General features: G+C 35.5%; 1 protein-coding gene and 1 non-coding gene across 2 annotated transcripts in view, besides 1 other annotated feature; both read right to left on the bottom strand.

Moving 5' to 3' along the window:
• PTPN4 (protein tyrosine phosphatase non-receptor type 4) overlaps window positions 1–27,270 on the bottom strand; it is a 224,978-nt gene that overhangs the window by 55,463 nt on the left and 142,245 nt on the right. Inside the window, exons 11-13 of the mRNA NM_002830.4 lie at window positions 14,195–14,258; window positions 9,196–9,368; window positions 2,771–2,839 (exon numbers count right to left, since the gene is read on the bottom strand). Coding sequence (NP_002821.1) covers window positions 2,771–2,839; window positions 9,196–9,368; window positions 14,195–14,258 — 306 coding nt within the window. The remainder of the gene's footprint in view (window positions 1–2,770; window positions 2,840–9,195; window positions 9,369–14,194; window positions 14,259–27,270) is intronic.
• LOC124906163 (small nucleolar RNA U13) lies at window positions 12,013–12,119 on the bottom strand. Its single transcript, XR_007088751.1, has one exon. It is a non-coding gene; the product is annotated as a small nucleolar RNA U13 (small nucleolar RNA).
• Window positions 14,897–15,097: a silencer, noted in NCBI's record as "peak3834 fragment used in MPRA reporter construct". NCBI's record gives its function as "represses an SCP1 promoter by STARR-seq MPRAs in K562 erythroleukemia cells {active_cell/tissue: K562}" and the evidence as "EXISTENCE:reporter gene assay evidence [ECO:0000049][PMID:32103011]".

Raw genomic sequence — 27,270 nt, 5'->3', positions numbered from 1 at the left:
AATGATTGCTAAAAAATTATTATATGAGAAGTTTAAGGAGGAGCCTTTTCTATCTACTCATATTGCCAACTAAAACCCAAAGAAAAAAAAAGAACTCTAGGTTATCTGGTACTTTAATAAAATAACTTAATAATTACTAAAACCATTAGAGAATTTTGGTAGACATATATCTGTTCATTACAATTAGATCCTAACATATTAGAAAAACAATCCCAGAAAAGCTTATCTTTCAGAGAAAGAGAGATCATTAAACAGCCCAGTACTATTACAACCTCATTGTAGCTGATACCTTATTATTTCAGAGGAACCACACAATTCCAGAAAAACAAAAGGAAGAGAGTTATCTGAGGCTTATAATATTGAAATTTTACCTCTACTATTCACGGAATCATGGCTATTTGTTTTATAAAATAACCTATTAAACAACTATACATTTTAATAATGAATACACAAAATGAACAACTAAGATGCAGGTATAACTCTGCTTATTTCTAAAATCTGATAGGATCAAAACATGAAAACATTAACACTTATAAAGAAACCATTTGTATGTGATATTAACTTAATACATAAATATGCCTACGATCTGGTACTCGTATGAGGATATGCTGCATACAACTAGTGACCACATCGCACGTTCTACACTGTTTATAAAAGTCAAGCAGAAAGAAGACACTTGTTAAGAAAGGAAAGTTTTAAGTATATTGCTACGCTGTTACAACACTAAGAATCAGAAAAATATTTTAAGAAATGTTATTCGTTTTTTAAAAAATACATGGACTCATTTCATTTTCCATAAGTGAATTCAAAGTAATTTAGGTGTGAAGATTTTCCATTATCACAGGTTTAAATTATAGGATTTTTTGATTAGAAGACAACTCATGACACCGTTTGGTCCAACCCCCTCATATTGCAGTGCAAATTTTCCTATCAGTCACAACAGAATGAAAATAAAGTATATTATCTCATGCATTTGATTTTTAAAATAAAGATTAACTTACCATTTATGGCTCTTCTATTAATGTTAATTCATAATGTAATAAACTATTATTTCCTCATATAGTAGACTACTAAATGTAAGCTGTATGTCACATATTACTGTGACATCCTTACAAAGTCTTAGCAACAACTCCTACTCTGGAGGCAGGGACGTGGCTCAGTAAAGGGAGGAATCCTAAAAGTTAAGTTTACAGTTTACAATCAAAGAATTTAACTGTTAAAAGATTTATTGCCATTATAAATGACTAGATTTTTGAACAGCAAAGAAAATGTGCACGATATGCTAGATGATAAAAACAAACAACAAATAGTTTAAAACAATTTGGAAACAAATATACACACATATATAAAAATGTCTCTATGAGTATATGCATAGAAAAATCCTGAATAATGAGTATCAAAATTTTTTTAAAAAGTTGTCTTGGGATGATAAATTTTCTTTATGCTCTTTGATACTGTTGGAGTTTTTAAACATAATGAGCTATCACTTATATTACTAGGGGAAAAAAGCAATTTCCACTTTTGGAAGGAGGAAGAAAAAAACCAAGAACACAAAACTCCCTTTACTCCAGAAACACAAAGAAGGAAGGTCTCTTAGATAAAGACTTAAGAACAAAATTTAAACAAAGTGAAATCAAAAGCAAACTTTCTAGTTCTCTTTATTAAAACTCAAGCCTCTAATAGCAGTAGATGCCAAACACATAACTAATTAAAAGACTTAGCCTCTCAAAGTAATTTTCACTGAAAACAAACTCTTGTCTCTAACACACCTGTATCCAGTTGGTCATCAGCTTCTGCTAGTTCTGCCTACAAAACGTTCCTTAAATTTGTTCCCTATTTTCCATTCCATTACCAATGTTTTTGTTCAGGCCTTTATTATTTTCACTTGGATTACTGCAATTACCTTATAGTTTCTGGGTACCGAGGCTTTCCTCGCTAATCCATTCTCTATCATTGCTCATAATACTATTTTCTAAAACATAGATCTTATCATGTCATTTCACTTGTTAAAAAGCAAATTGGCTAGGTCGGGAGTGGTGGCTCATGCCTGTAATGCCAGCACTTTGGGAGGCCAAGGTGGGGGGGATCACCTGAGGTCACGAGTTCGAGACTAGCCTGGCTGACATGGTAAACCCCATCTCTACTAAAAATACAAAAATATTAGCCAGGTGTGGTGGCATGCGTAATCCCAGCTACTAGGGAGGCTGAGGCAGGAGAATCACTTGAACCCAGAAGGCAGAGGTTGCAGTGAGCTGAAATTGCACCACTGCACTCCAGCCTGGATGACAGGGTAAGACTCCGTCTCAAAAAAAAAAAAAAAAAAGCAAATTGGCTATGACAGACCCTAAAGAAATAAAGACAATAAATGGTAAACAAAAACAAAAAATAAAACAACTTATCTCTTAACATTATAATTTAAATAAATATGGAAATGGCTTGATAACATGAAATAAGTCACTATATTTCTCAAAAATGTTTAAAAAAGTGGAGCAACCTCGAACAGAATATTATATTAATAACATAATATTTGATCAGCCTATTCAGAACTGCAATGCCTGGCACACTATTAATATAAAAAATGAATCAATAAACTAGACAAGCTAGTTTATCATTCCCTCAACATTATTTACTGTTAAAGAATTGTGATAATTCTGTAATCAAAAATTTGAAATATTTAGAAAAACTTTAGAAAAAATATTTAGAAAAACTTTTTAGTAAACTCAATCCATCTTTTTAAAAAAATTCAAACAATGAAACAGATTTGGCTTACCTTGCAAATACCCTGTCTTTATTTGCCTTTTCTTTGCCATACTGAACTGATTGGACTTCAGTTCTCCCACTGAAATATATAAATATGCACAACAATAAAGTCTTAAGAGAACTATAAGATAAAATGACAACACATAACATGATTATAGTGTAACTTCCTAAGAGACAAGACATTTCTAGCAGAGAAAAGGAAGCAGAGAATAAAAAGACTGGACAACATTCCAATTCTACCTGGATGAATGAAGCTTAGTTACATTTCTCCCATTAATGAAGAAAGATGTGTTCAACTCCCTCCATGTCCAGACACAGAACAGCTCCAGATTTTTGTTTAGAGGAAGGAACTAAGGCAGAAAAATGGTGGGGTTTTGGCACTAGGAGATTTGTTTTCAAGCTGATTTGTCTAGAGGGAAATTGTTGATAGAGAGAAACTGATCTTCTTCTGAAGTACACCAATGTGTTCAGATGAAGTTTGTTAATAAAAGTTCTCAGAGCATTTATTTGAGACATTCTCATTACTTAACTGTGAATTAACATAAATTTGCGGTATATCAAATGTAACCATATACAAATATAGCTATCTAATGCATATAAAAACAGCCAAATGCCAGTTTCCATAGTTAAGCAAGCAATTTTAAGACCATTTTCCATGGATAAATATCAGTAAATATGAACTGAATGGCACTTTTATGAGATTTTAACGGAAAAATGAGAAATACTACCATGACTTTTAAACTTCAAGTTGAATTTTCCTAAGAAAATATTTCCTCTAAGAGGGAGGTAATAAATTAAAGTTCATCACTGTTTTGTATTTCCACATTAGAATAATGATGTTAATCCTCTGGATACTTTGGAACAGAGATAAGGATATGTACATGAAGAGACTGGTGGAGAAAGTAATAGATCTGATAGTCCCAGTACCATCTGTCAGTCAAAAGAGTATTTCAACATTTTAAGTATGACAACAGTTCCAGTATTCTCCACCACTGCTTATTATGAAGGGAAAAAAAGTTTATTTAGTGCATACTCATTAGGGACAGGACTGTGTCCAGTTAACATTTTTACTTCATTTCCTACTTCATTCCTACTTCATTTACAAGATGTCTAACCACTTGGATGATTAAAAAGTGCTTTGGATAAGTTTTAAAGTTCTCCCATTCCTACTTCATTTACAAGATGTCTAACCACTTTGATGATTAAAAAGTGCTTTGGATATGTTTTAAAGTTCTTAAGGACTACAAACGCAAAGCTTAACTTTTTAAAACTATAAATATACACAATTATGTATATACAATTTAATGTGCGAGCTGTCATAGGCCCAGTCCTGTCCTGTGCCCTATGTTTTGCAGGGGCTATGATAAACAAATTCCATTTTCTAGATTATTTTGCCTTAGGTTCTGCTTTTAGAAGGTACTGGTGGAAGATCAGAAAGTGGAGAAAGGCAGAGCAGGAAACTGGCAGCTGCTGGCAGCTGCTTTAATAGTCATGGGGATAGGGTATAGTGAGAAAGAGCATCCTGTAGATGGTCCCATCCTTGATTAAAGCAGTACTTCTCTGCAAGATGCAGACTGATTTTTCTTCACTGGAAAATTAATGTATCAGTCAGAGTTCAGTCAGGGAAACAGAGCTCTAACAGTGTAGTAGCAGGTGTAGTTTGTGGACTCCAGCCCAGGGAGTCCTGAATGCATCTGAATTTTAGGCATTACCCCTTCTTCTTGTTTTTTTCTCCATAACCATGTTTCCACCCTTTTGTTTTCCCAGCATTTCCAACAACCATGTAACTAATTTCCTCAATTAAATTGCTTTTGTTTGAAATACCAAAAGGGCTTTCTGCTTCCCTGACTGAACTCTGACTGATACCTTAATTTTCCAGTGAAGAAGATTCAAATGGGATACTATTACTCAAAAGGCTGGAGTAACAAGTTAAATTTCATAATAAAGAAACAATTTTTTTTAAAATTAATGAAAGAAAGGCTTATATTTCATATTGTCCATAATACAGACATTAGGGATTTAGTATTATCATTACAACAAAATGAAAAACTGTTCCAGTTTCAGAACACTAAACTTTCACAGTAAGATACTTATCTTTTGAGCAATGAGAAAGTTCTCTCTCTTTCTCTCTCTCTTTATATATAGGCTTATTATAAGTTATTCAAGCAACATAGAAAAATATAAAAAGAACAAAAAAATTGTTTTTACCCACAGTCCTATCCATAAAGAAATCATCACCATTATGAGCAGGTAAAAATCATTCTGAAATTCATGTATATAAACATTAAAAAGGCTAGACATACAGGCACAATAATTTTATTACAATGAAACTATGGTATATATGCCACTTTTAACGAAAAAAATTAAACTGGTTTCCAGTGAAATAAAAGATAAAAAAGACTGCCATTCATATTAAAAAAAAGGAAAAAAGATGAAGAAAACCTTAAGAACTGCTGTGTTAATGTCTAAAATTGTTTCAAACTTTAAGGATTCAAATACTTCCTCCCACTAGTCCCTTGCTTTTTTTTTTTTTTTTTTTTGAGACGGAGTCTCACTCTGTCGCCCAGGCTGGAGTGCAGTGGCTCCATCTCGGCTCACTGCAAGCTCTGCCTCCTGGGTTCACGCCATTCTTCTGCCTCAGCCTCCCGAGTAACTGGGACTACAGGTGCCCACCACTACGCCCGGCTAATTTTTTGTATTTTTAGTAGAGACAGGGTTTCACCGCATTAGCCAAGATGGTCTCGATCTGCTGACCTCGTGATCCGCCCGCCTCGACCTCCCAAAGTGCTGGGATTACAGGCGTGAGCCACCGTGCCCAGCCTCATTTTTTTAAAGTTATATTACTTATTCTACTTTGGCAAAGTTTATACCATTTAAATTTTATTCTGCAGTTATAATTCTCACGGTTGTCAAGAATTGTTTCTATATAGAGAGGATTTAATCTTCACTCTCAGGGCTTTTTATATAAAAATAACTTTTTATACCTGATAAAAAGTTATTTTTTTATACCTGATAAAAAGTTATTTTTTTAATCAGGATTATTCTGATTTATCTCCTGGTTTGCTGAATTTTACTACTTAATAAATGTTTTCAGGAAGGTCCTGGAGATGTTATATTCTCTGAGTTTTTGCATATTGGATAATGTCTATATGTTGACTTTGGACTTGAATGGCAATGTGATCATGTTTAATATTTTTTGGTCATGTTTTTGTCTTTAGGACTTGGTTGACAAAGGATGGCCCACAAGTAACATAAGCCTGAAGATACAAGTTTTATTTGGAATACATACTGTTTGTTGTTGTTTAGAGACAGGGTCTTGCTCTGTCACCCAGGCTGAAGTGCAGTGGCCTGATCATAGTCCTGTAACTTTTAACTCCTGGCCTCAAGTGATCCTCCTCCCTGAGCCTCCTGAGTAGTTAGGACTACAGGTGTGTGCCAAAAGCCCAGCTAGTTTTTAAACTTTTGGTAGAGACAGGGGTCTGCCTATGTTGCCCAGGCTGGACTTGAACTCCTGGCCTCAAACAATCCTCCCACCTTGGTCTCCCACAACACTGAGATTACAGGCCCCCATGCCTGGCCTACATTATTTTAAAATATTTAATTCAAACTGATAAACCACTAGCAGACTAATCAAGGAAAAAAGAAGACACAAGTTACCAAGAATGAGAGAAGCAACATTATTACATATTCTAGAGAGATTAAAAAGAAATGGGGAATATTATAAACTCTGTGCCAATAAATTCAACAACCTAGATGAAATGGATAAATTTGCTGACAGACAGAAACTACCATATCTTGCTCAGGAAGAAAGACAAAACCTTAATTGCCTTATCTATTAAAGAATTTGAATGTTCAAAACCTTCCTATAAGTAAGACTTCTGCCCCAGATGAATTAATTTGCAAATTCTATGAAACATTTAAAAATGAGATAATATTATTACTATGCAGCCTCTTCCAGAAAATGGAACTTTCTCAACACATTCATGATTCCAATTTGACCCTGACACAATAAAATCTGAAAATGATATCGTACGAAAGAAAACTACAGAGATATATCCCTCATAAACACATATGCAAAAATCCTAAACAAAATTTAGCAAAGTGAATCAAACAATATATATAAAGGATATCATGGCTAAGTGGGGTTTATCCTAGGAATGTAGGGCTGGCTTAACACTTGAAATGCAATCAAAGTAATTCATCATACTAACATCAGATTTTAAAGTTTGAATATGATCATTTCTTATGTGTCAATTATACTTCAATAAAGCTGTTAAAATAATTGTTCAACTTTCTAAAATGTACATATCCCATTTAATAGTCCTTAATCCCAGTTTTGTCGAAAAACATGTAAAATTTGTCAATACTAGGCCAATCTTCCCCAAGGGCAGTAACAGCCTTCTGAATGGCAGGTGTTGCTCCCTTCCCGGCCGATCTTTTTTTTTTTTTTTTTTTTTTAAATCAGATTGTCCTTGAACTTGCTTTTATTAATATTTATGGTACAAATTTCCTTCTGTTTCAGTGATGATTTCCTCCCAAACAGGTTTCTTCAACTGTCTTTTGTATTTGAAGTCACCGTATGTAAATTTTATGTTTGCTTTGGTATGGTTTGGGTAACTTCCTTGACTTTCTTTTCTCATCTTGTCTGAGACTTGCTTGAATTATAGTTGAAGACTGGTTATTGGTCCTACTCATTTCTTTGTACCTAAATTAAATGGTGTGTGTTTATGTCACATTTGCAAGGACAAAGAGGAGAAAAAAGAATTTGAACAGAGGGTAAGAGTAGTCCTTGTATAACTACCCTGGTAACCAATCAGAAATTAAATTCATTGAAAGAATATCTTTAGGGTTTGTACTGTTCTCATTTCACATAAAGCCGTGGAGATTTCTTCTGTCCTTGCTGAGATTTATTAACAGTAGGTAAGGCTCTTTGCTTTTTCCTTGACTTTCATTATAGATCTGATACTCTCTCCTTCCATCTATTTGCTTTTAAATTTGCAAGTACTGTCATCTTACTTTACTCAAAATTGCTTTTAGGAAGGCAAAAAAAAAAAAAGGAGTTAAACGTGACAGCAAACTGCTTAGGAAATTACTGTGCCTTTTGTTTGGTTAAAAATATTCTAATTCTGTTTAATTGTTACTACTGAACTTTTGAGCCACTTTTACTAATTTTTCTGGGGTGGGAGTCATGTATTTCAAGTGACATATCCTGTACTAAGCTTCATACTGTTATTTTTACGGAGATTACAAATTAGGCAATTATACATGTTTAGGTTTACAATTTAAATCTTTTCTGGGAACATCTAAACATTTTTCTCATGAACATATAACATGAATTAATCTTAACACATAATGGTCAAGGGTTTTTCATTTTATTTTATTTTTATTTTTGAGATGGAGTCTTGCTCTGTCACCCAGGCTGGAGTGCAATGGCGAGATGTCGGCTCATGAAACCCCTGCCTCCTGGGTTCAAGCAATTCTCGTGCCTCAGCCTCCCAAGTAGCTGGGATTACAAGCGCCCACCACCACAGCCAGCTAATTTTTTGTTTTTTGTTTTTGGTAGAGACGGGGTTTCACCATGTTGGCCAGGCTGGTCTTGAACTCCTGACCTCTGGTGATCCGCCTGCCTCGGCCTCCCAAAGAGCTGGGATTACAGGTGTGAGCCATTGCGACTGGCCAAGGGTTTTATTTATCAAAGATGAAAAATCTTATTATGTGAAGCATAAACAAACAAGAATGAATAACATTTGTTTTACTAAAAGATAATGAATAACTTTCTACATGATTCTTACCAGGTTCCACTTAAAAACTAGCTTGCATGGGTCTTTTAAGAATTCCAAAGGTAAAACTAATCAGAGCTTCTTCAGATTTAGTTATTCCCCAAAGATTTGTTGCCGTCAGGAAAAAATAAAAGCTATCAAGAATAAAACAATTTTAGGAAATGGAACCTGGGGTTACTGTTCAATGACTAAATCTGATTTTGCCTCGTGACTGTTTTAAACACTTTACAATAAAGGGTTTGACAACCCAAAAATATGCTAAATTCTAAATTAAAAAACAATAATTATATAGTTTTAGGCATAAGATACCTTGGGTGTCTTAGAACAAAGAAAAGTTTTCAAGCAAATATCTAATAAAGACACAATAGAAATTATGTCATCTGTCTTTATTGTAAATAAGTAAATGTAGTTAATTTACTCCAGAAAATAATGACAGCAAATACAGAACACAGAACTGGTTTCTCAAGCCTGTAGCATATCACAAGAACCTATAGAACTTTTTAATGATACTGATATAGAGGCTGCAATCCATAGGGATTTTTGACTCAGTTAAGTTTGTGTAACAAAGGTTGTATGGTTCCATAAACTACATCTTTATTTTAAAGAAAGGAAACAAAATCCAACAATAAAGCCTTAACACAGAAGCAATACTTACCAGTACCGGAATTTTGAACCTAATGTAAAATAATGTGCAAAAAAATTCTTTTGAGGTGGAAGTGGTCTGTCCAAACGGAAGAATGTGTGATGTTCTACACATGCTTTCCACAAATTTTTACATGCTCTGTAATTCACCATATTAAATCCCAATAATGTTTCTCTAGATTCATGCTGTAATAAATGACAAAATGCAGAGAATACCAGGAAAATGTCAGGATCTAATGCTCCATTTAATTTACTTTTGACAGATAAATTATTCTAGCCTTGTAAACATGAACTTGTTAATGATATAGATAGAACCTATGGGATCTTTTATCTAGGATCTTTTTTGCTTATCCAATAAAAAGGCAATGAAGTATATGCAAAAGCCTGAAAAATCTGGACCTAACTCAGTCTTTTTTTTTTTTTTTTTTTTTGAGACACAGTCTCACTCTGTCATCCATGCTGGAGTGCAGTGGCACGATCTTGGCTCACTGCAACCTCCACCTCATGGGTTCAAGTGATTCTTGTGCCTCAGCCTCCCGAGCAGCAGGAATTAAAGGCATGCACCACCACACCCAGCTAACTTTTTCTATGTTTAGTAGAGACGGGGTTTCACCATGGTGGCCAGGCTGGTCTTGAACTCCTGACCTCAAGTGATCTACCTGCCTTGGCCTCACAAAGTGCTGGGATTATATCATGAGCCCCCGTGCTGGCCTTGTTCATTCATATTATAACTCTTAGGAACTTTAACCTTAGATCATAGTTAGAAATGAGTTCAAACTTTTAATATGTATCTGTTTTCAACATTAGCTATGACTCTGTTTCAAAATATAATTCTAGGCCATAAATTAAATGTTAAAATATATCATCACAACTTTTAACAATATTCCTAATTTAAAATATCTGTCTAGATTGTAAATAAAGAACATTCAGCAGCTCTGAACACTATTACATAATTCAAAATTTAAAATTAGCACTAAAATAATTTTCCATTTTCTTGAAAACTGGTACAAATTTCTAAATAAATAATTTCCTTAAAGTAAACCACATATAGCAACATTCACATCCCATAATTGCACAGCTCTGATTTTCACACAATAAATACAACCATGTAACCTTTACCCAGTTCCAGAAATGGATCATTACTACCACCACAGAAGTATCCTTTGTCTCCCCTTTCTACCAGATTACCTTCCCAAAGTTAATCACTCTTCTGCCTTTATCACCATAGAATAGTCATGCTTGTTTTTGAACTTTATTGTACATACATGGAATCAAACATATGTGTCTTTAGGTCTGGCTTTTGTTCAGCATTATGTTTCTGATATAAATTCAACGTTTATGAAGCAGTAATTCACTAATTTCCATAGTACTCTATTATAATGAATTTAACAGTTAACTTATCCACTTTACTGTTCACAGACATTTTATATTTCTAGTTTGGGGATATAAGAAGAATGCAGCCATGCATATTCCTGTATGTTCTCTGGTGTACACATATGCACATTTTTGTTGTTGGGTCATATGTTGTACACATATGCTCAGCTTTGGTAGATAATGCCCAACAGTTTTCCAAAATGGGTAGATCAATATACAATCCCTCCCACCAGTAGCATATGTGCCATATATTCACCAACCACTGGTTTATCAATCTCTTTCCCCTTACTATTCTGTTGTGTATGTAGAGGTAGCACATTTTGGTTATAATCTGAACCTCCTTTATAATTATTGAGGTTCAATGTTAATGGCCACGTGGATATCCTCATTTGTGAAGTGTCTGTTCAATTCACTGGCATATATTTCTATCAGGATGCATATACAACCAAGGATTCTGTGTGTATTATATAATGGTCTATACTATTTCACTCTCTTAGTGATATCTTTTGATGAACAGAGTTATTAATTTTAACATAGTCCAAATCATCAATCTTTTAAGGGTATGAAGGTTTCCTTCTATGTCCGGTTAAAGAAATTCTTGCCCATCAAAAGGTCATTAAGATATTTCCTGTGACTAATACACAAATAAATGCCCATGTATAAAGTATTAAACTATCATATTAGAAGGGAATATGCTTAAAACATCACTTCTTGATTGCCAGAAAATTGTCTTAATTATGGTTAATAGTTGTTTTGTTTGCACTAACATATATAGTTCATATGTTTTACCATATGCCACAAACATTACACAAAATAACAGAAAATGTCTCAGCTACTATGATGCACTGAAGCTTCTCACTGTCAGCATCTAAGATGCATACATATTCACCCATTTTGACACTTGGTATACTTTTCAAAAAGTCTATAAGTAATTTCCATATTCTATCAATTATATTTGAAATGTAACAAAAATTTTTCTTGCCCAATTTCTAAACAACACACAAAAAAATTTGTACTGAGAGATAAGTATATCGTATGAAGTTTGGGTATTTAAAAACAAAGATGTTTTAGAGAGAAAACATTAACAAGGCCACCTTTTGCAGAGTATGCCTGTATACTGTCTTTTTTTTCCTTTTTTCTTTTGTTTTTTTTGAGACAGAGTCCAGCTCTGTTGTCCGGGCTGGAGTACAGTGGTGCGATATTGGCTCACTGCAACCTCCACCTCCTGGTTCAAGAGATTCTTGTGCCTTAGCCTCCCAAGCAACGGGAAATACAGGTGTGTGCCACCACAACCATTTTTTTGTATTTTAGTAGAGATGGGGTTTTGCCATGTGGGCCAGGCTGGTCTTGAACTCCAGGCCTAAAGCAATCCACCCACCTCAGCCTCCCACAGTGCTGGGATTACAGGCGTGAGCCACCGCACCTGGCCTGTATACCATCTTTACTTTCTTTCTCCTATCAGACAGGTTGTAATGTGCCTATGCTGTAACAAAGTCTGAGGAAGGCATATCTCACCCAATAGCATGAAAATCTAATCATCATGCTTATGAACCACAAAAGGATCCCTGTATACTGTCTTTAATCAATTGTCAGTTAGCTATTGTTGCTGTTATCACTTATTGGTAAATACATTTTTAACTGGTACACTACTTCAGAAAATGAGAGTGAGGATTCAGTGATATGAAAATGACTGGTCTTTTACCAGGCACATAGTAAGTTCTCAATAAAGGCTGGATATTATAACTATTATTAATAACACTAGTATTATGATGGGATATTATTATAAGTCTAATTAGAAAAGTTGACTTCTACAGTGCCATCTATGATTACTTAAAGTAAAATATTTGTCCTCTAGTTTCCAGATAACAATATTATATTTTAATCACCTAAATTTTAAAACATGTAAAATAATTTCCATTAGCAGCATTAGTCATAATATCCCCAACCTGGAAATGGCAAAGCTGTCCACTAGCAGCAGAATGAATTAATAATTTATGGCATAGTCATTCAGAGGAATACCATACATAAATGGAACGAACTAATGTTATATGCAACAACATGGATGAATCTCACAAAAAATATTAAGGGAAAGAAGGCAGACAGTAAAGACAACAACTGTATAATTTCAATTTTTAAAGTTCAAATATAAGCAAACTAATCCATGGTCATACAAATGAGAGTAATGTTTACCTTCCAGGAGGCTTAATGACTGGAAGTGGGCATCAGCTCCAGCAGCAACATTTCAAGCATCTGGGGTGCTGGTAAAGTTCTACATATTAGAAGGCGGTACATATACTACATATCTTGGAGGTGCTGATATGGATATGTTCACTTCATCAAGTTGTGTACTTAAAATATGCACATTTTTGGTATTATGTTTTATTTCAATAAAAATTCTCTTGAAAAAAATCCCTCTGTATTTTATGAACATAAACGATAAACCATAGTTTATAATCACGTAGTAGACCAATACAACAGAGCTGATTCAAAGACTTTCTTTATTTTTCAAGAGGCAGTGGTGTCCTGCTCTGTTGCCCATGCTGGACTACAGTGGCACAATCAGCTCATTGCAGCCTTGAACTCCTGGGCTCAACCTATCCACCCACCTCAGCCTTCCAAGTAGCTGGGATAACAGGTAGAAGCCACCACTGTACCCAAAGGCTTTTTTTTTTTTTTTTTTTGAGACAGGGCCTCCCTATGTCATCCAGGCTGGAGTGCAATGGTGTGATGATAGCTCATTGCAGCCTTGAATTCCTGGGCTCCAGAGAGCCTCCCACCTCAGCCTCCTGAGTAGCTGGGACTAGAGGCACACATCATCACACCTGGCCAATTTTTTTTTTCCATTTTTTTTTTGTAGAGACAGTGTCTCACTATGTGGCCAAGGCTGGTCTGGAACTCCTGGCCTCAAGGGATCCTCCCACCTCAGCCTCTCAAAGTGCTGGGATTACAGGATTGAGCCACTGAGGACAGCCCCAAAGACATTTTTATGGTTTCAAATACATTTTACACACATACACACACAACCATCTTGAAATCTGCATGAATTTGCCAAGACTTCTCAGATTTCTAAGAAATAATGTACATCAAAGGATAAGGTTAGTTTGATTTAATGAAACAGACAAAATCATTAACAAGATGAAATTATTTCCAACACTGTACTTTCCATGACAACTCAATTTGTTATTTATAATATATAAAGCCATTACCACTCCAACAAAGGGAGGCAATGTGTTATAAGTTCATGAACTTGTAACACTCAGCTCCCCTAAAATAAAATGAACTTATATACGAAAGTAAGTACTATAGATTTAGTAGGGAAAAAGGGATATATGAAATGCTCATTTGCTGCCCTTCAAAAATGGACCCTGAGGTTTTCAATGAACATCATGTGTGAGAAATCAGTTTCTAAGCTCGAGAAACAGCAAGAGGAATATCTAGAAGAACTTTAAATTAGAACCACATACACACTGGAAAAACAAGTACATTTTGTTATAACAAGTGAATTCATTACCTCAGCGGGCAGTTATCCACAGTATTAATTGCACTTTCACTTGTACTAATAATAGAAAAGTTCTGTCATGAATGGGTATTTCTTAAAAGGCTTCATTTATGTCAATAATTATTAAATCCGTACTCACCAATTCTTTTCTAAGTTGAATAAAAAACTGTTTGCACTTAAAAGAAATTTTTACAATCTTCAACCTGGACAAAAGACAATAAATTATTCAAAGTATTGAATAATGATAAAAATATTAACAAATTATGAAAAAATGTTTTAAGTGTATATTTAGTAATATCTAAACATTTTATCATATATACATACACATAGTACATAAAGAATTGAAAGTTTTTCTTGCTTCATGGAAAAAATAATTAGTATTTGTGTTCAACTGAGGAAAATTTTGTATCTACAGAAATACTTAAAAACAGATGTCACAAATTAAAATTTCAAAAACTATCACTAACTTAGTTGTTTACTCTCTAAAACTATAAGCAAGCCTTGGAAAAATGTAAGATTTCATTACTTTATGCAACAACCCTAAAAACACTTTTAATTTTAAAAAGCATTAAATTTTAAAAATTTACCTTTGTACACCACCCTTCTTCTTAAACGCAACCCACATAATGCCATAAGCGTTCTCAAAGCCTTATTAGTACAATCAATATGAGCCAAGTCATTTTGTCTCATTGAAACCATAAAATAAGTAACACAGTAAACACAGTCTTTGTAAACTTTAAGACATAAGGGTAATAAGGCTAAAGAGATTTGATCTTTCTTACTGAGAAAAATGTCCTTCAGGATCCTGTCTCAGTCTTCTAAGTAAATATTTTCATGATAATTCTAAGTCTTAATCTTTATGGCTTATGGCCCTATCTATCCAAGAAGCTCTCAGCATTCTCAAAGAATAAACTTCTCACACTTTAATCACTTGAAGAGGCAAATGCATGAGTCAACTTTTCAAGCATGCATGTTTGGAATAGGGAAGAAGAGACATGTTTAGGTTTCTGATTTGAAAACTTTGTATTTTACTTTTGGATACTGAGCTTTCACTCGACATGGGAAAAATATTCTGTCATAGAGAGAGGGCATTATTTCCAGAAGCAAAAAAAAAAAAAAAAAAAAAAAAAAAATTGAGTAACTATTGACTGTATTTATGGAAAAAAGCCAGGTGCCTCAATTCAAAAAATCTTATGAAGACACACTGATATTTCAGAAGTTAAACAACAAAAAACACTGTTCATTTCTAAATGATCAAGAGAAAGGAAATCTAGGCCAGTTTCAAATCACTTTAATTTCAAAAATTCCCAGGAAGGTATCAATCAATGAATAAAAATCTTTTCACTGAATGCTCTCTGTGGCATAATATATATTTTGTATAACTTTTATTTTCTTATAAATGTATTGTGTGTGACTTGTATTTGCTACAAAGTTTTTTCAGAAAAATACCAATGTATAAATTAAAAATCTTTCAAACAGTATCTATTTTATATAGCAGTAATATAGCCATAACCGTTTTTTTGGCTTCTATATGCCTGGTTTATCTTTTTCAATGTTTCTGTCATTTTGTATAACATTTTAGGTATGTCTCTTGTAAACAGTATAAAGATTGATTTTTTTTTAACTGGAACAATTCCTTTCTGTAGTTAATAAATCATTAGACATACTACGCATTTTTCACTTGACATCAGAGGTTTTACAATGACTTTACATTTCAGTTTAAGGTTTGCCTTTGCCATCTTAAAATGTATCCTATTACAGACATGGTTTCGCTATGTTGCCCAGCCTGGCCTCAAACTCCTAGGCTCAAGTGATCCTCCTGCCTCAGCCTCCTGAGTAGCTGGGACTATAGGTGTGTGCCACTGCATCTGGCTCAGATTGATTTTTAAAAATCCAGTTTGAATAATCCAAAATATATGAAACAATAATAAGTACTTGAAAAGACACTCATTATCATTAGCCAGCAGGGGAATGCAAATAAAAACTACAATGAGATACTACTTTATACTCACTAGAATGGTTATAATAAAAATGCAGATAACAAGTGCTGGTGAGAATCTGGAGAAATTAAACCCACATGCAATGCTGGTGGGAACGTAAAATGATGCAGCCACGTTTGAAAACAGTTTAGCAAACCCAGGTATTCCACTCCTAGATATATACACTCATGAAAAATGAAAACATGTCCACACAAAAACTTGTACAAATGTTCAGAGCAACATAATTCTCACCAGCCAAAAAGGGGAAAAAACTGGTGAACTGGTTATCAAAATGTGGTATAACCATAAAATGGAAAATTATTCAGCAATAAAGGGGAAAGCAAAACTGATACATACTACAATGCGGATGAACCTCAAAAATGAATGAAAAAAATCAATCACAAAAGACCACACAGTACATGATCTCATTCAATATTAATAGAATATATAGAATAGGCATATCTATAGAGATATATGATAGTGATTAGTGATTGCCTAAGACTTCTGGCAAATAAAAAGCATAGAAAAGAACAGGAAATGGCTCCTAATAATTACAAGGTTATCTTTTAGGGGTAATATAAATGATTCAAAATTAGATTATGGTGATGCTGCCCCTGAAACTATACCACAAACCACTAAACTGTATACTTTAATAGGCAAATTTATGGTACATAGATTATATCAATAGTGATTTAAAAATTCAGTTTGATGTTTTCAATATGAATATCCAACATATTTACAGTTTCGATAATAATTAACATACTTGGATTTATCTCTACCATAATTTTTTTTGCTACTTGTCCAAAGTTTTCTGTTTCTACTGGAATGCCAATTATGTAATCATATAACTATTTTATACTGTTTTACTGATTAACTTTCACATGGTTTTGGAAAGCAGCTAGGCTCATCATTATACCACCAATGCATCTTTTCATTTTCCCTTTTAAGCATTTTATTATGTATAACTGACATGCAAAATGCACATATTTAAAGTATATACTTTGGTAAGTGTGACATACATGTGTACTTATCAAACCATCATCACAGTCAAGATAGTGAACATATCTATCACTTCCAAAAGATTCCTTCCGCCACACAGTGATCCTCCTCTAGAACTCCAACACAGCAACCCATCCCGCCTACGTAACCACTGACCAACTTTTTGTCCCTACAGATAGAATTTTCTAGAATTTATATAAATGGAAGCATACAGTATGTATTTTTCTTCATCTGTCTTGTCACTCCGCTTAATTATTTAGAGATTCATCTGCATTGTGTTTTTCACTAAATCTTTTCTCCACTTTGCTGAGGAGCATTCCATTCTATGGATATACCACAACATGGATGGAAATAGCCATCACTTCATGATGAATATTTAAGTTGTTTCTAGTTTTCGGCTATTACAAATAAAGTCACTTTGAACACATGTGTGCAAGTCTTTGTACAAACATTTGCTTTAATTTCTGGTGGTCAAATACCAGGTAGGAGTGAAACAGCTAGGTCATATGGTAGACATATTTCTAACTTTTTAAGAAACTACAGAACAGTTTTCTAGACTGGTTGGACCATTGTATATATTATAATAATACAGTCATTCTAGTCTCCTTAATGCTTACTACTTGCATGGTATACCTTTTTTATCTCTTTATTTTCAGCCAATCTATATATATATTCTTATCTACAAGGAAAGCCATTATACTTTTTTCTTCCCCATTTGTTTGCCTTTTATTCCTTTTTCCTTTTTCTTTTTTTAAAACACTAGTAAGGACCTGGTGTACAAAGCTGAAGAGAAGTAGTGAGATGAAGCATATATTTTCCTCATCTTATATAAAAAGCATTGAGACTTTCACCATTTTGTATAATATTAGCAGATTTTTTGTAGATGCCCTTAATCAAAATAGAAAGTGCCTTGTATTTATAGTTAGCTATGTCTTTATTTTTTTAAATCATGAATGGTCAATTTTGTCAAATTCTTTTTCTGCATCTATTGAAATGCTCAAATGGTTTTTCTATGTTATTATAACAGTATGGTTAATTATACTGACTGACTTTCAGATGTTAAAGCAACCTTATATTCTTAAAATAACCCCCATTTGAACATGATGAATTGTCATTTTTATATATTACTGGATAGAATTTGCTAAACTTTTATTAGGTATTTTTGCATCTATGTTCATGAGTAACTGCAGTTTTCTTTCCTTGTAAGGTCTTAAGTCTGGTTTTAACATCAAGGTAATAATCACATAAACCATGTTCCTTCTTTATTGTCTAAAAGAGCTTATGTAAAATTGGCCTCACTTCTACTTTAAATGTTCGATAGAATTCACAACAAGGGGCCTGGAGTTCTAATGTTCAAAAGGTTTCTAATTATAATTTCAACTTCTTTAATAGATACAGATCTATTCAAGTTTCTTTTCTTCTCAGGTCATTTTTTAATTTGTGTCTTTCAAGGAATTTGCACATTTAATCTACGTTGTGAAATTTATTAATGGTACTTGTATTAGTCCATTCTCACACTGCTAATAAAGACATGCCCGAGACTGGGTAATTTATTGGGGAAAGAGGTTTAATTGACTCACAGTTCAGCCTGGCTGGGGAGACCTCAGGAAATTTACAGTCACAGCAGAAGGCAAAGGGCAAGCAAGGTACTTTATTCACAAGGCAGCAGGAAGGAGAAGTGCAAGCAGGGGAAATGCCAGATGATTATAAAACCAACAGATATCATGAGACTCACTCATTATCATGAGAACACAATGGGGGAAACTGTCCCTATCATTCAACTACCTCCACCTGGTCCCACCCTTGACACATGGGGATTATGGAGACTACAAGTCAAGGTGAGATTAGTGGAGGAGGGGGCAGGACACAGAGCCAAACCATATCAATATTCAAACATTCAAATCTGCTCACAATATGATTTTATTATGCTTTTAATGTATGTAGGGTCTGTAATGCTATCCCCTTTCATTCTGGATATTGGTACAGCCAAACTTTAGAGATACTGAGGGCTTAGTTCCAGACTACTAAAGCGAATACTGTGATAAAGTGAGTCACACTATTTTTTGGTTTCTCAGTGGATATAAAAGTTATGGTTACACTATACTGTAGTCTATTAAGAGTTCGATATACTATAATGAAAACAAGTTGTATAATAAAAAATCAGAGTAATTTATAAAAAATTCTAATGATCATCTGAGCCCTCAGGAGTTGTAATCTTTTGTTGGTGGAGGGTCTTGCCACAATGTGGCAAGACCACATTGCCAAATGCTATTTGATAGCACTTACCTACACTAGAACTTCTTTCAAAACAGTCAATCCTCTTCACCCAGCTGCTGCTTTATCATGAAATAGTCTATATTCTTTGTTGTCATTTAAACAATGCTCACAGCATCTTCACCAATAGTAGATTCCATCTCAAAAAATCACTTTCTTTGCTCATCCATAAGAAGCAAATCCTCATCTATTCAAGTTTTATCATGAGATTGCAGCAATTCATCCCCTACCCCATCTTCAGACTCCACTTTTAATAATAGTTCTCTTGTTATTTCCACCCCACCTGTAGTTACTTCCTCCCCTGAAGTCTTAACCCCCTCAAAGTCATCTATGAGGGTTGGAATCAATTTCTTCAAAATTCCGGTTAACGTTGCTACTTTGACCTTCTACCATGAATCATGAATGTTCTCAATGGCATCTAGAATGGTAAATCCTTTCCAAAAGGTTTTCAACTTACTTTTCCCAGATCCATCAGAGAAATCATCCTCAATGGCCACTACAGCCTTACAAAATATGTTTCTTAAAAAAGATTTGAAAGTCAAAATTACTCCTTGATCTATCAGCTACAGAATTCATATTGTGACAGCAAGCATCAACTTCCTTGCCATCTCTAACAGAGCTCATGGGTGGCAAGGTGCATTCATTGTCAATGGGCAGTAATATTCAGAAAGGAATCTTTTTCTAAGCAGTAGGACTTAACAATGGACTTAAAATATTCAGTAAGCTATGCTGTAAACAGATGTGTGGTCATCCAGGCTTTGACGTTCCATTTCTAGAACACAGGTAAGGTAGATTTAGGACCTAGCATTTACAGAATGGTAAATGAGCACTGGCTTCAACTTTATTCCGCAACAAGAGAGTCAGTCAGTCCTTTGAAACATTGAAGCCAGGTATTAACTTCATCTATGATAGTCTTAGATGGCATCTTCTTCCAATAGAAGGCTGTTTCATCTACATTGAAAACCTGTTGTTTAGTGTAGCCATTCATCACTTAGCCAGACAGCTAGATATTCTGTATAACCTGCAGCTTCACTTTGAACTTTTATGTATGGAGATGACCTCTTTTCTTAAGCCTCATGAACCAACCTGCACTAGCTTCAAACTTTTCTTCTGCAGCTTTCTCACCTCTCTTCTCAGTCTTCACATAATTAAAGAGAGTTAGGGCCTTGTTCTGGATTAAGCTTAAGGGAATGCTGTGGCTGGTTTCATGTATCCACACCACTAAGATACTCTCCATATCAACAATAAGGCTGTTTCACTTTTGTATCATTTGGGTGTTCAATGGAGTAGTACTTTCAATTCCTTCAAAAATTTATCCTTTGCATTCACAATTTGGCTAATTGGTGCAAGAGGCCTAGCTGTTGGTCTATCTTGACTTTGACATGCCTTCCTCACTGAACTTAATCATTTCTAATTTTTGATCGAAAGTGACAGAAGTGCAACTCTTCCTTGCACTTGATCACTTATAGACCACTGAAGGGTTATTAATTGGTCTAATTTCTATATTGTTGTGTCTCAGTGAACAGGGAGTTCCAAGGAGAGGAAGAGAGACAGAAACGGCCAGTCAGTGGGGCAGAAAGAACAAACAATACAATATCTATCACTTAAGTTAGCTGTCTTATATGGGTGTGGTTTGTGGCATGCCAAAACAATTATAATACTAAGAGCAAAGATCACTGATACAATAACATACACAATAAAAAACTTTGAATTATTGTGAGAACTACCAAAATATGACACAAAGACACAATGTGAGCACATGCTGGCAGAAAAATGGCAACAACAGAGTTGTTTGATGCAGGGTTGCCACAAACCTTCAATTTGACCATTTGCATGTCTTTTTTCTGAGAAATGTCAATTTTAAAAAATGAATTATTGGGCTGGCTTTTGCTGTTCAGTTCCTTGTTATTCTGGATACCAGGCCCTTGTTGGATGTACAATTTGCAAATATTTTCTCCAGTTCTATAGGTTGTCTCTATACTCTGTCGATTGTTTCCTTTGCTATGTAAAAGCGTTTTAGTTTGATAGTCCCATTTGACTATTTTTCTTTCTGTTGCCTGTACTTTTAAAGACCTACCCATAAAATCTTTGCCTAGATCAGTATTCTGAAGCATTTCCTCTATGTTCATTTAGCAGTTTTATAGTTTCAGGTCTTACGTGTAACTCTCTAATCCATTTGGAGCTGATTTTTTATATACTGAGATAAGGGTCTGGTTCCATTCTTCTGCAATAGATACCCAGTTTTCTCAGTACCATTTATGGAAAAGGGTGTCTGTTCCCTACTCTATGTTCTAGGTGCCTTTGTCAAAATTCAGTTGGCTGTAAATACGTGGATTTATTTCTATGTTCTCTATTCTGTTCTGTTGGGTCTATGTGTCTATTTTAATACCAGTACCATGCTGTTGTGAATACTGTAGCTTCACAGGATAATTTGATGTCTTCCATCTTTGTCCTCTTGACTCAGTATTGTTTTGGCTATTCAGGATCTTTTAGGGTTCCATACAATATTTTTTTTTTTCTTAATAGAGAAAGGGTCTCACTCTGCCATCCAGGCTGAAGTGCAGTGGTATGATCATAGCCCACTGTAACCCTTAAAGTGCTGGGCTCAAGTGATCCTCCCACCTCAGCTTCCGGAGTAGCTAGGACTACAAATACATGCCATTATGCCCAGCTAATTTTTAAAAATATTTTTTATAGAGACGAGGTCTTGCTATGTTGTGTAGGCTGGTATTAAATGCCTGGCCTCAAGCAATCCTCTTGCCTTGGCCTCCAAAAACGCTAGGATTACAGGTGTGAGCCACTTGGCTCCCCACCCATATGAATTTTGAAACTGCTTTTTCTATGCCTGTGAAGAATGTCATTGATATTTTGACAGATGTTGCATTGAATCTGTAGAATGCTTTGGGTAGTGTGGTCATTTTCACAGTACTAATTTTTCTAATTCATGAGTATGAGATGTTTTTCTACTTTTTTTCTGTTCTCTTCAATTTTTTCCCATCAGTGTTTTGTAGTTTTTGTTGTAGAGATCTTTCACCTCCTTGGTTTATTCCTAAGTGTAACATTTGGTAGGTACTGTAAATGAGATTGCGTTCTTGATTTCTTTTCCAGCTATTATTGGTGTACAGAAACGTAACAGATGTTTGTACATTAATTTTGTTCCCTGCAACTTAACGGAATTCACTTAATAGTTCTAAGAGACTTTCAGTGGAGTCTTCAGGCTTTTCTTTATGATCAGGTTTTCTGCAAAGAGGAACAATTTGACTTCCTGTTTTCCTATATGGATGGCCTTTATTTCATTCTCTTTCCTGACTGCTCTGGCTAGGACTTCCAGTCCTATGTTGAATAAGAGTGGTCAGCGTGGGCATCCTTGTCTTCTTTTAGTTCTTAGAAGAAAAGCTTTCAGCTTTGACCTGTTCTGTATGATGTTAGCTGTGGAACTGTCACTTATGGCCTTGATTGTGTCAAGATATGTTTCTTCTACACCTAATTTGTTGAGAGTTTTTATCATGAAGGGATGTTGAATTTTATCAAATGCTTTTTATGTGTCTACTGAGATGACTGCATGGTTTTTGGTTTTCAATCTGTTGATGTAATAAAGTATTTCACTTACTGATATTTGTATGTTAAACTATCCTTGCATCCTGGAAATAAACTCCACTTGATCACGTGTAGATACGTGAAAAATGTTTCTTTTTCACGTATTATTGAATTTGCTTTGCTAGTATTCTGTTGAGGAATTTTGCATCTATATTCATTAGGAATACTGGCTGGTAGTTTTTTTCTGTCTTTTCTTTTTTTTCAGACAGGTCTCACACTGTCACTCAGGATGAACTCCTGAGCACAAGTGATCCTCCTGCCTCAGTCTCCCGAGTACCCAGGACTACAGGCATGTGCCACCACACCTAGATAATTTTTTCTTTTTTTGTTGTTAGTTGATTTTTATCACTTCAAAAAATACAAATTTCAATTTGTTGATCCTTTGTATTATTTTTACAGTCTCTACTTGATTTAGTTCTGCTCTGATCTTTATTGCTTTTTCTTCGACTAAATTTGGGGCTTGGTTTGTTCTGGCTTTTCTAGTTCCTTGAGATGCATCATTAAACTGTTTATTTGAGCTCTTTCTACTTTTCTGATGTAAGCATTTATTGCTATAAATAGCTCTCTTAGCAATGCTATTGCTGTATCTCACAGGTTCTAGTATGTTATGTTGCTGTTTTTGTTTCAATAATTTTTTTTATTTCTGCCTTAATTTCTTCATTGACCCAACAGTCTTTCAGGAGAGTGTTGTTTAATTTCCATGTATTTGTACAGTTTCCAAAGTTCCTTGTTATTGATTTCTAGTTTTATTCCATTGTGGTGTGAGAAAATACTGGATATAATTACTATTTAAAAATTTTTTTGAGACTTGTTTTGTGGCCTAACATATGGTCTTTTCTGAAGAGTGTTTCACGTGCTGAGGTGAAGAATGCATATTCTGCAGCTGTTGGATAAAATGTTGTTTAAATGTTTATTAGGTTCCTTTGGTCTACCGTGCAGATTAAGTCCAATGTTTGTTTTCTGTCTAGATGATCTGTCCAGTGGTGAATCTGGTGTGCTGAAGTCCCCAACTACTATTGTATTGGAGTCTGTTTCTCTATCTTTAACAATATTTACTTCATATATCTGGGTGCTCCAGTATTAGGTACATATTTACAATTGTTATATCCTTTCGCTGAATTGATCCCTTTATCATTTGATATTGACCTTGTCTCTTTTTATGGTTTTTTACAAAGTATATTTTGTCTAAAATAACTGCTTCTGTACGCTCTTGGTTTCCATTTACATGGGATTTTTCCTTCCCTTTACATTTAGTCTATTGTGCTTTTTACAGGTGAAGTTGAGTTTCTTGTAGGTAGCATAGAATTCGGTCTTCTTTTTTTACATCCATTCAGCCAGTGTCTAAGTTTTAACGGGAACTTAAACCATATACATTCAATGTTGTTAAGTAAAGATCTATTCTTGTTATTTTGCTAATTGTTTTCTGATTGTTTTGTACATCCTTTATTCCTTTCATCCTCTTATTGTTTCCCTTGATTATTTGTTTTTTTTTTTTTTGTAGTAATAACCTTTGACTCCTTTCTTTTTCTCATCTACTCTAGATATATCTTATCTGCTCTGTCAGGGAATTTTATACTTTTGTGTGTTTTCATGATAGTTCATAGCATCCTTTCACTTCCAGATGTAGGGACTCCCTTAAGCATTTCTTGTGAGATCCATCTAGTGGTGATGAATTCTCTCAGTTTTTGCCTATCTCAGAAAGACTTTATTTCTACTTCACTTCTGAAGGGTAGATTTGCTTGGGTGATGTATCCTCAGTCAGCATTTCTACTGGTTTATCTGCAGTTTGAATATACCACCATATTCGCTCCTGGCCTGTAAGGTTTTTGATTAGGAATCTGCCATTGGTCTGATGGAGATTCCCTTATGTGTGACTTGATCCTTTCCTCTTGCTCTTTTTAGACTTCTGTCTCTGATTTTTAAAAATTTGACTATGAAGTGCCTTGGAGGAGACCTTTTCGGGTTGAATGTCTGTGGGGTTCTTTGAGCTTCTGGTATCTTAACGTCTCTACGTCTTGCAAGAGTTGGGAAGCTTTCAGCTAGTATTTTCTTAAATAGGTTTTTTTTTTATGCCTTTGCCCAACTCTTCTGAAATTTTCAAAATTCAAATATTTGGCTGCTTTACAGTGTTCCATTTGTCATTCAGGCTTTTTTAGCCTTTTAAAAAATTACTAGGTTATTTCCAAAGACCTGTCTTCGGGTTCAGAAATTATTGTTACTGCTTAATCTAGTCTATTGTTGATGCTTTCTATTGTATTTTTTATTTCATTCACTGAACTCAGTTCCAAAATTTGTTGGCTTTTTTTTTTAAATATCTCTCAGTTGAATTTCTCATTCAGATTATGAATGGTTTTCTTGATATCTCTGTATTGTCAAGCTGTCATATATCATTGCATTTCTTTAATATCATTATTTTATTTTTCAGGCATTTATTTCTTCTGTCCTTATACGTTGATATCTGCACATCTGGTGTAACAGGTGCTTCTTCCAATTTTATGAATTGGCTGTCATAGGAACAAACTTTTTCTTGTGATGTACCTATAGTGTTGGCTGGATAGGGTGCTTTGGCTTTGATTCTGGATGGGTGCAGTAGCATAGTCTTCACATTATTTATTTGGCTCTAATCAGTGTCAGAGGTGTCTGTGAGTTCCTCAGTGGCTTAGGGTGTAGAGGTTGTGGTGAAGCTGTATTGGGGATGGAAATGCCAGGTAGGCTGGTTCATGGGCACCAGCTGTGGTGATGGCAGGCTGGGCATGCCAGTCCTTGGGTCTCCAGGTGGTATGCATGGTGTCAGCAGTATCAGTGGGCTATCCCTTGGGGTCCTGAGCTATGCATGTGGGGGACAATAGTGGTAGAGGCAGGGTGGACGAGCCAGTCCCTGGGCCCCTGGGAAGTGCCCACAGGTGCCAGTGGCAGGCAAGGTAGGTCCATTATTGAGCCCCTGAAAGGTGTGTGTGTGTGTGTGTGTGTGTGTGTCAGCAGCTGCAGGTATGGCCAGCCAATGCCTAGACTCCAACAGTGTCTGGAGGTGGTAGCTGAGGGCGAGGCACATCTATCGTCAGGCCCTTGGATGTCACGTGAGGGCCCTCACAGTTCTAAGTGGGTCAATCTCTAGGTTCATGAATAACATATACAGGTGCCAGCAGCTGGGATGGTCCTCTGTTCAGGCCCTTGATGTTATCACTGGTGACGGTGGACAGGGCATATAAATGTCCCTGGAAGGTGTGCTCAGATAGGCCAGTCCTTACTTAGCCCCCCAAAGGCACATGCAGCTGTACAGTGGTCTTGCTGCCGGAGGATGTGAGTTGCTGTCAATGGTAATGTCCCTGTGCAGGCAACTCTGAGGCTGTGGTGAGCACATGCTTCATCTCCCTTTATGACAGGTACAGCCTCCCTGGCACACTGCACTGCCCATTCCCCAGGGTGAAGGACACTGCACGAGATACAGTCTCGAGGACCTAGCTGTATCCTGGGTGCAGTTAAGTCTTGCAACTTTGCAGCCCTCTGTGTGGACATGGAGGGTTGTCAGTGGGGAAATGCAGGAGCTACTGGGCCTCACTGCAGGATGTATTCTGATGGGGTCTGAGCTCTCAAAATGGCATTGTGTTGCAACTGCCTGGGTCTTAGGGGGTGTGTAGAGGGAGTGCAAACTCCCTCTCTGAAACAATGCCATGGTGTGGACTTCAGGCAGCTCCCTATGCTAGTCTCACGGCCCATGAGGGTCAAGGGCCTCTCTCATATAAGAAGGACTGCAGTAATCTTTGGTGCAAATGTGAACTATTGAGGATCTCTTGCTTACCTTTTCCTTGCAATGGGCAATTCCTCCTGGCTCTCAGGTGATCCTGGCTAGGCTGGCTACTTTGCTTCCCTCTCCTTCTGTGTCTCAGAGGTTCCCTGTCACTTCCTTGTTGAATTCTTCTGTTCTCTTTTAAATGTCCTATTCATTGTGTGTTTATCTACTTGCTGATCTGGTCCTTCTTTGTGGAAGACACAAGTGCCTCCGTGACTCTAGTCAGCCATCTTGAAGTCCCCTCTCTGCTTTCTTTTCTTTCTGTAGATCCAGATTCCTGTCTTATATTATTTTCCTTTTCTATGAAGAACTTCTTTTAACATTTCTCACAAGGCAGGTCTACTGGTAACAAATTCAATCAATTTTTGTTTGTGTGTGTGAAAGTCTTTATTTCTCGTTCACTTCTGAAGGATAACTTTGCTACAGACTTCCAGGTTGGTGGGTTTTTTCTTTCAACACTTTAACCAAAATATTTCACTCCAGTTTCTTCTTGCTTACATGGTTTCTGAAGAGAAATACAACATATTTTTTACCTTGTTCCTCTAGGTTAAATGTGCTTTTTATGCTTTGCTTTTT

The sequence above is a fragment of the Homo sapiens genome, chromosome 2 (assembly GCF_000001405.40).
Source record: "Homo sapiens chromosome 2, GRCh38.p14 Primary Assembly".
NCBI classification, from domain to species: domain Eukaryota; kingdom Metazoa; phylum Chordata; class Mammalia; order Primates; family Hominidae; genus Homo; species Homo sapiens.
The sequence above is the reverse complement of the archived record's forward strand: the minus strand, read 5'-3'. Positions and strand labels throughout refer to the sequence as shown.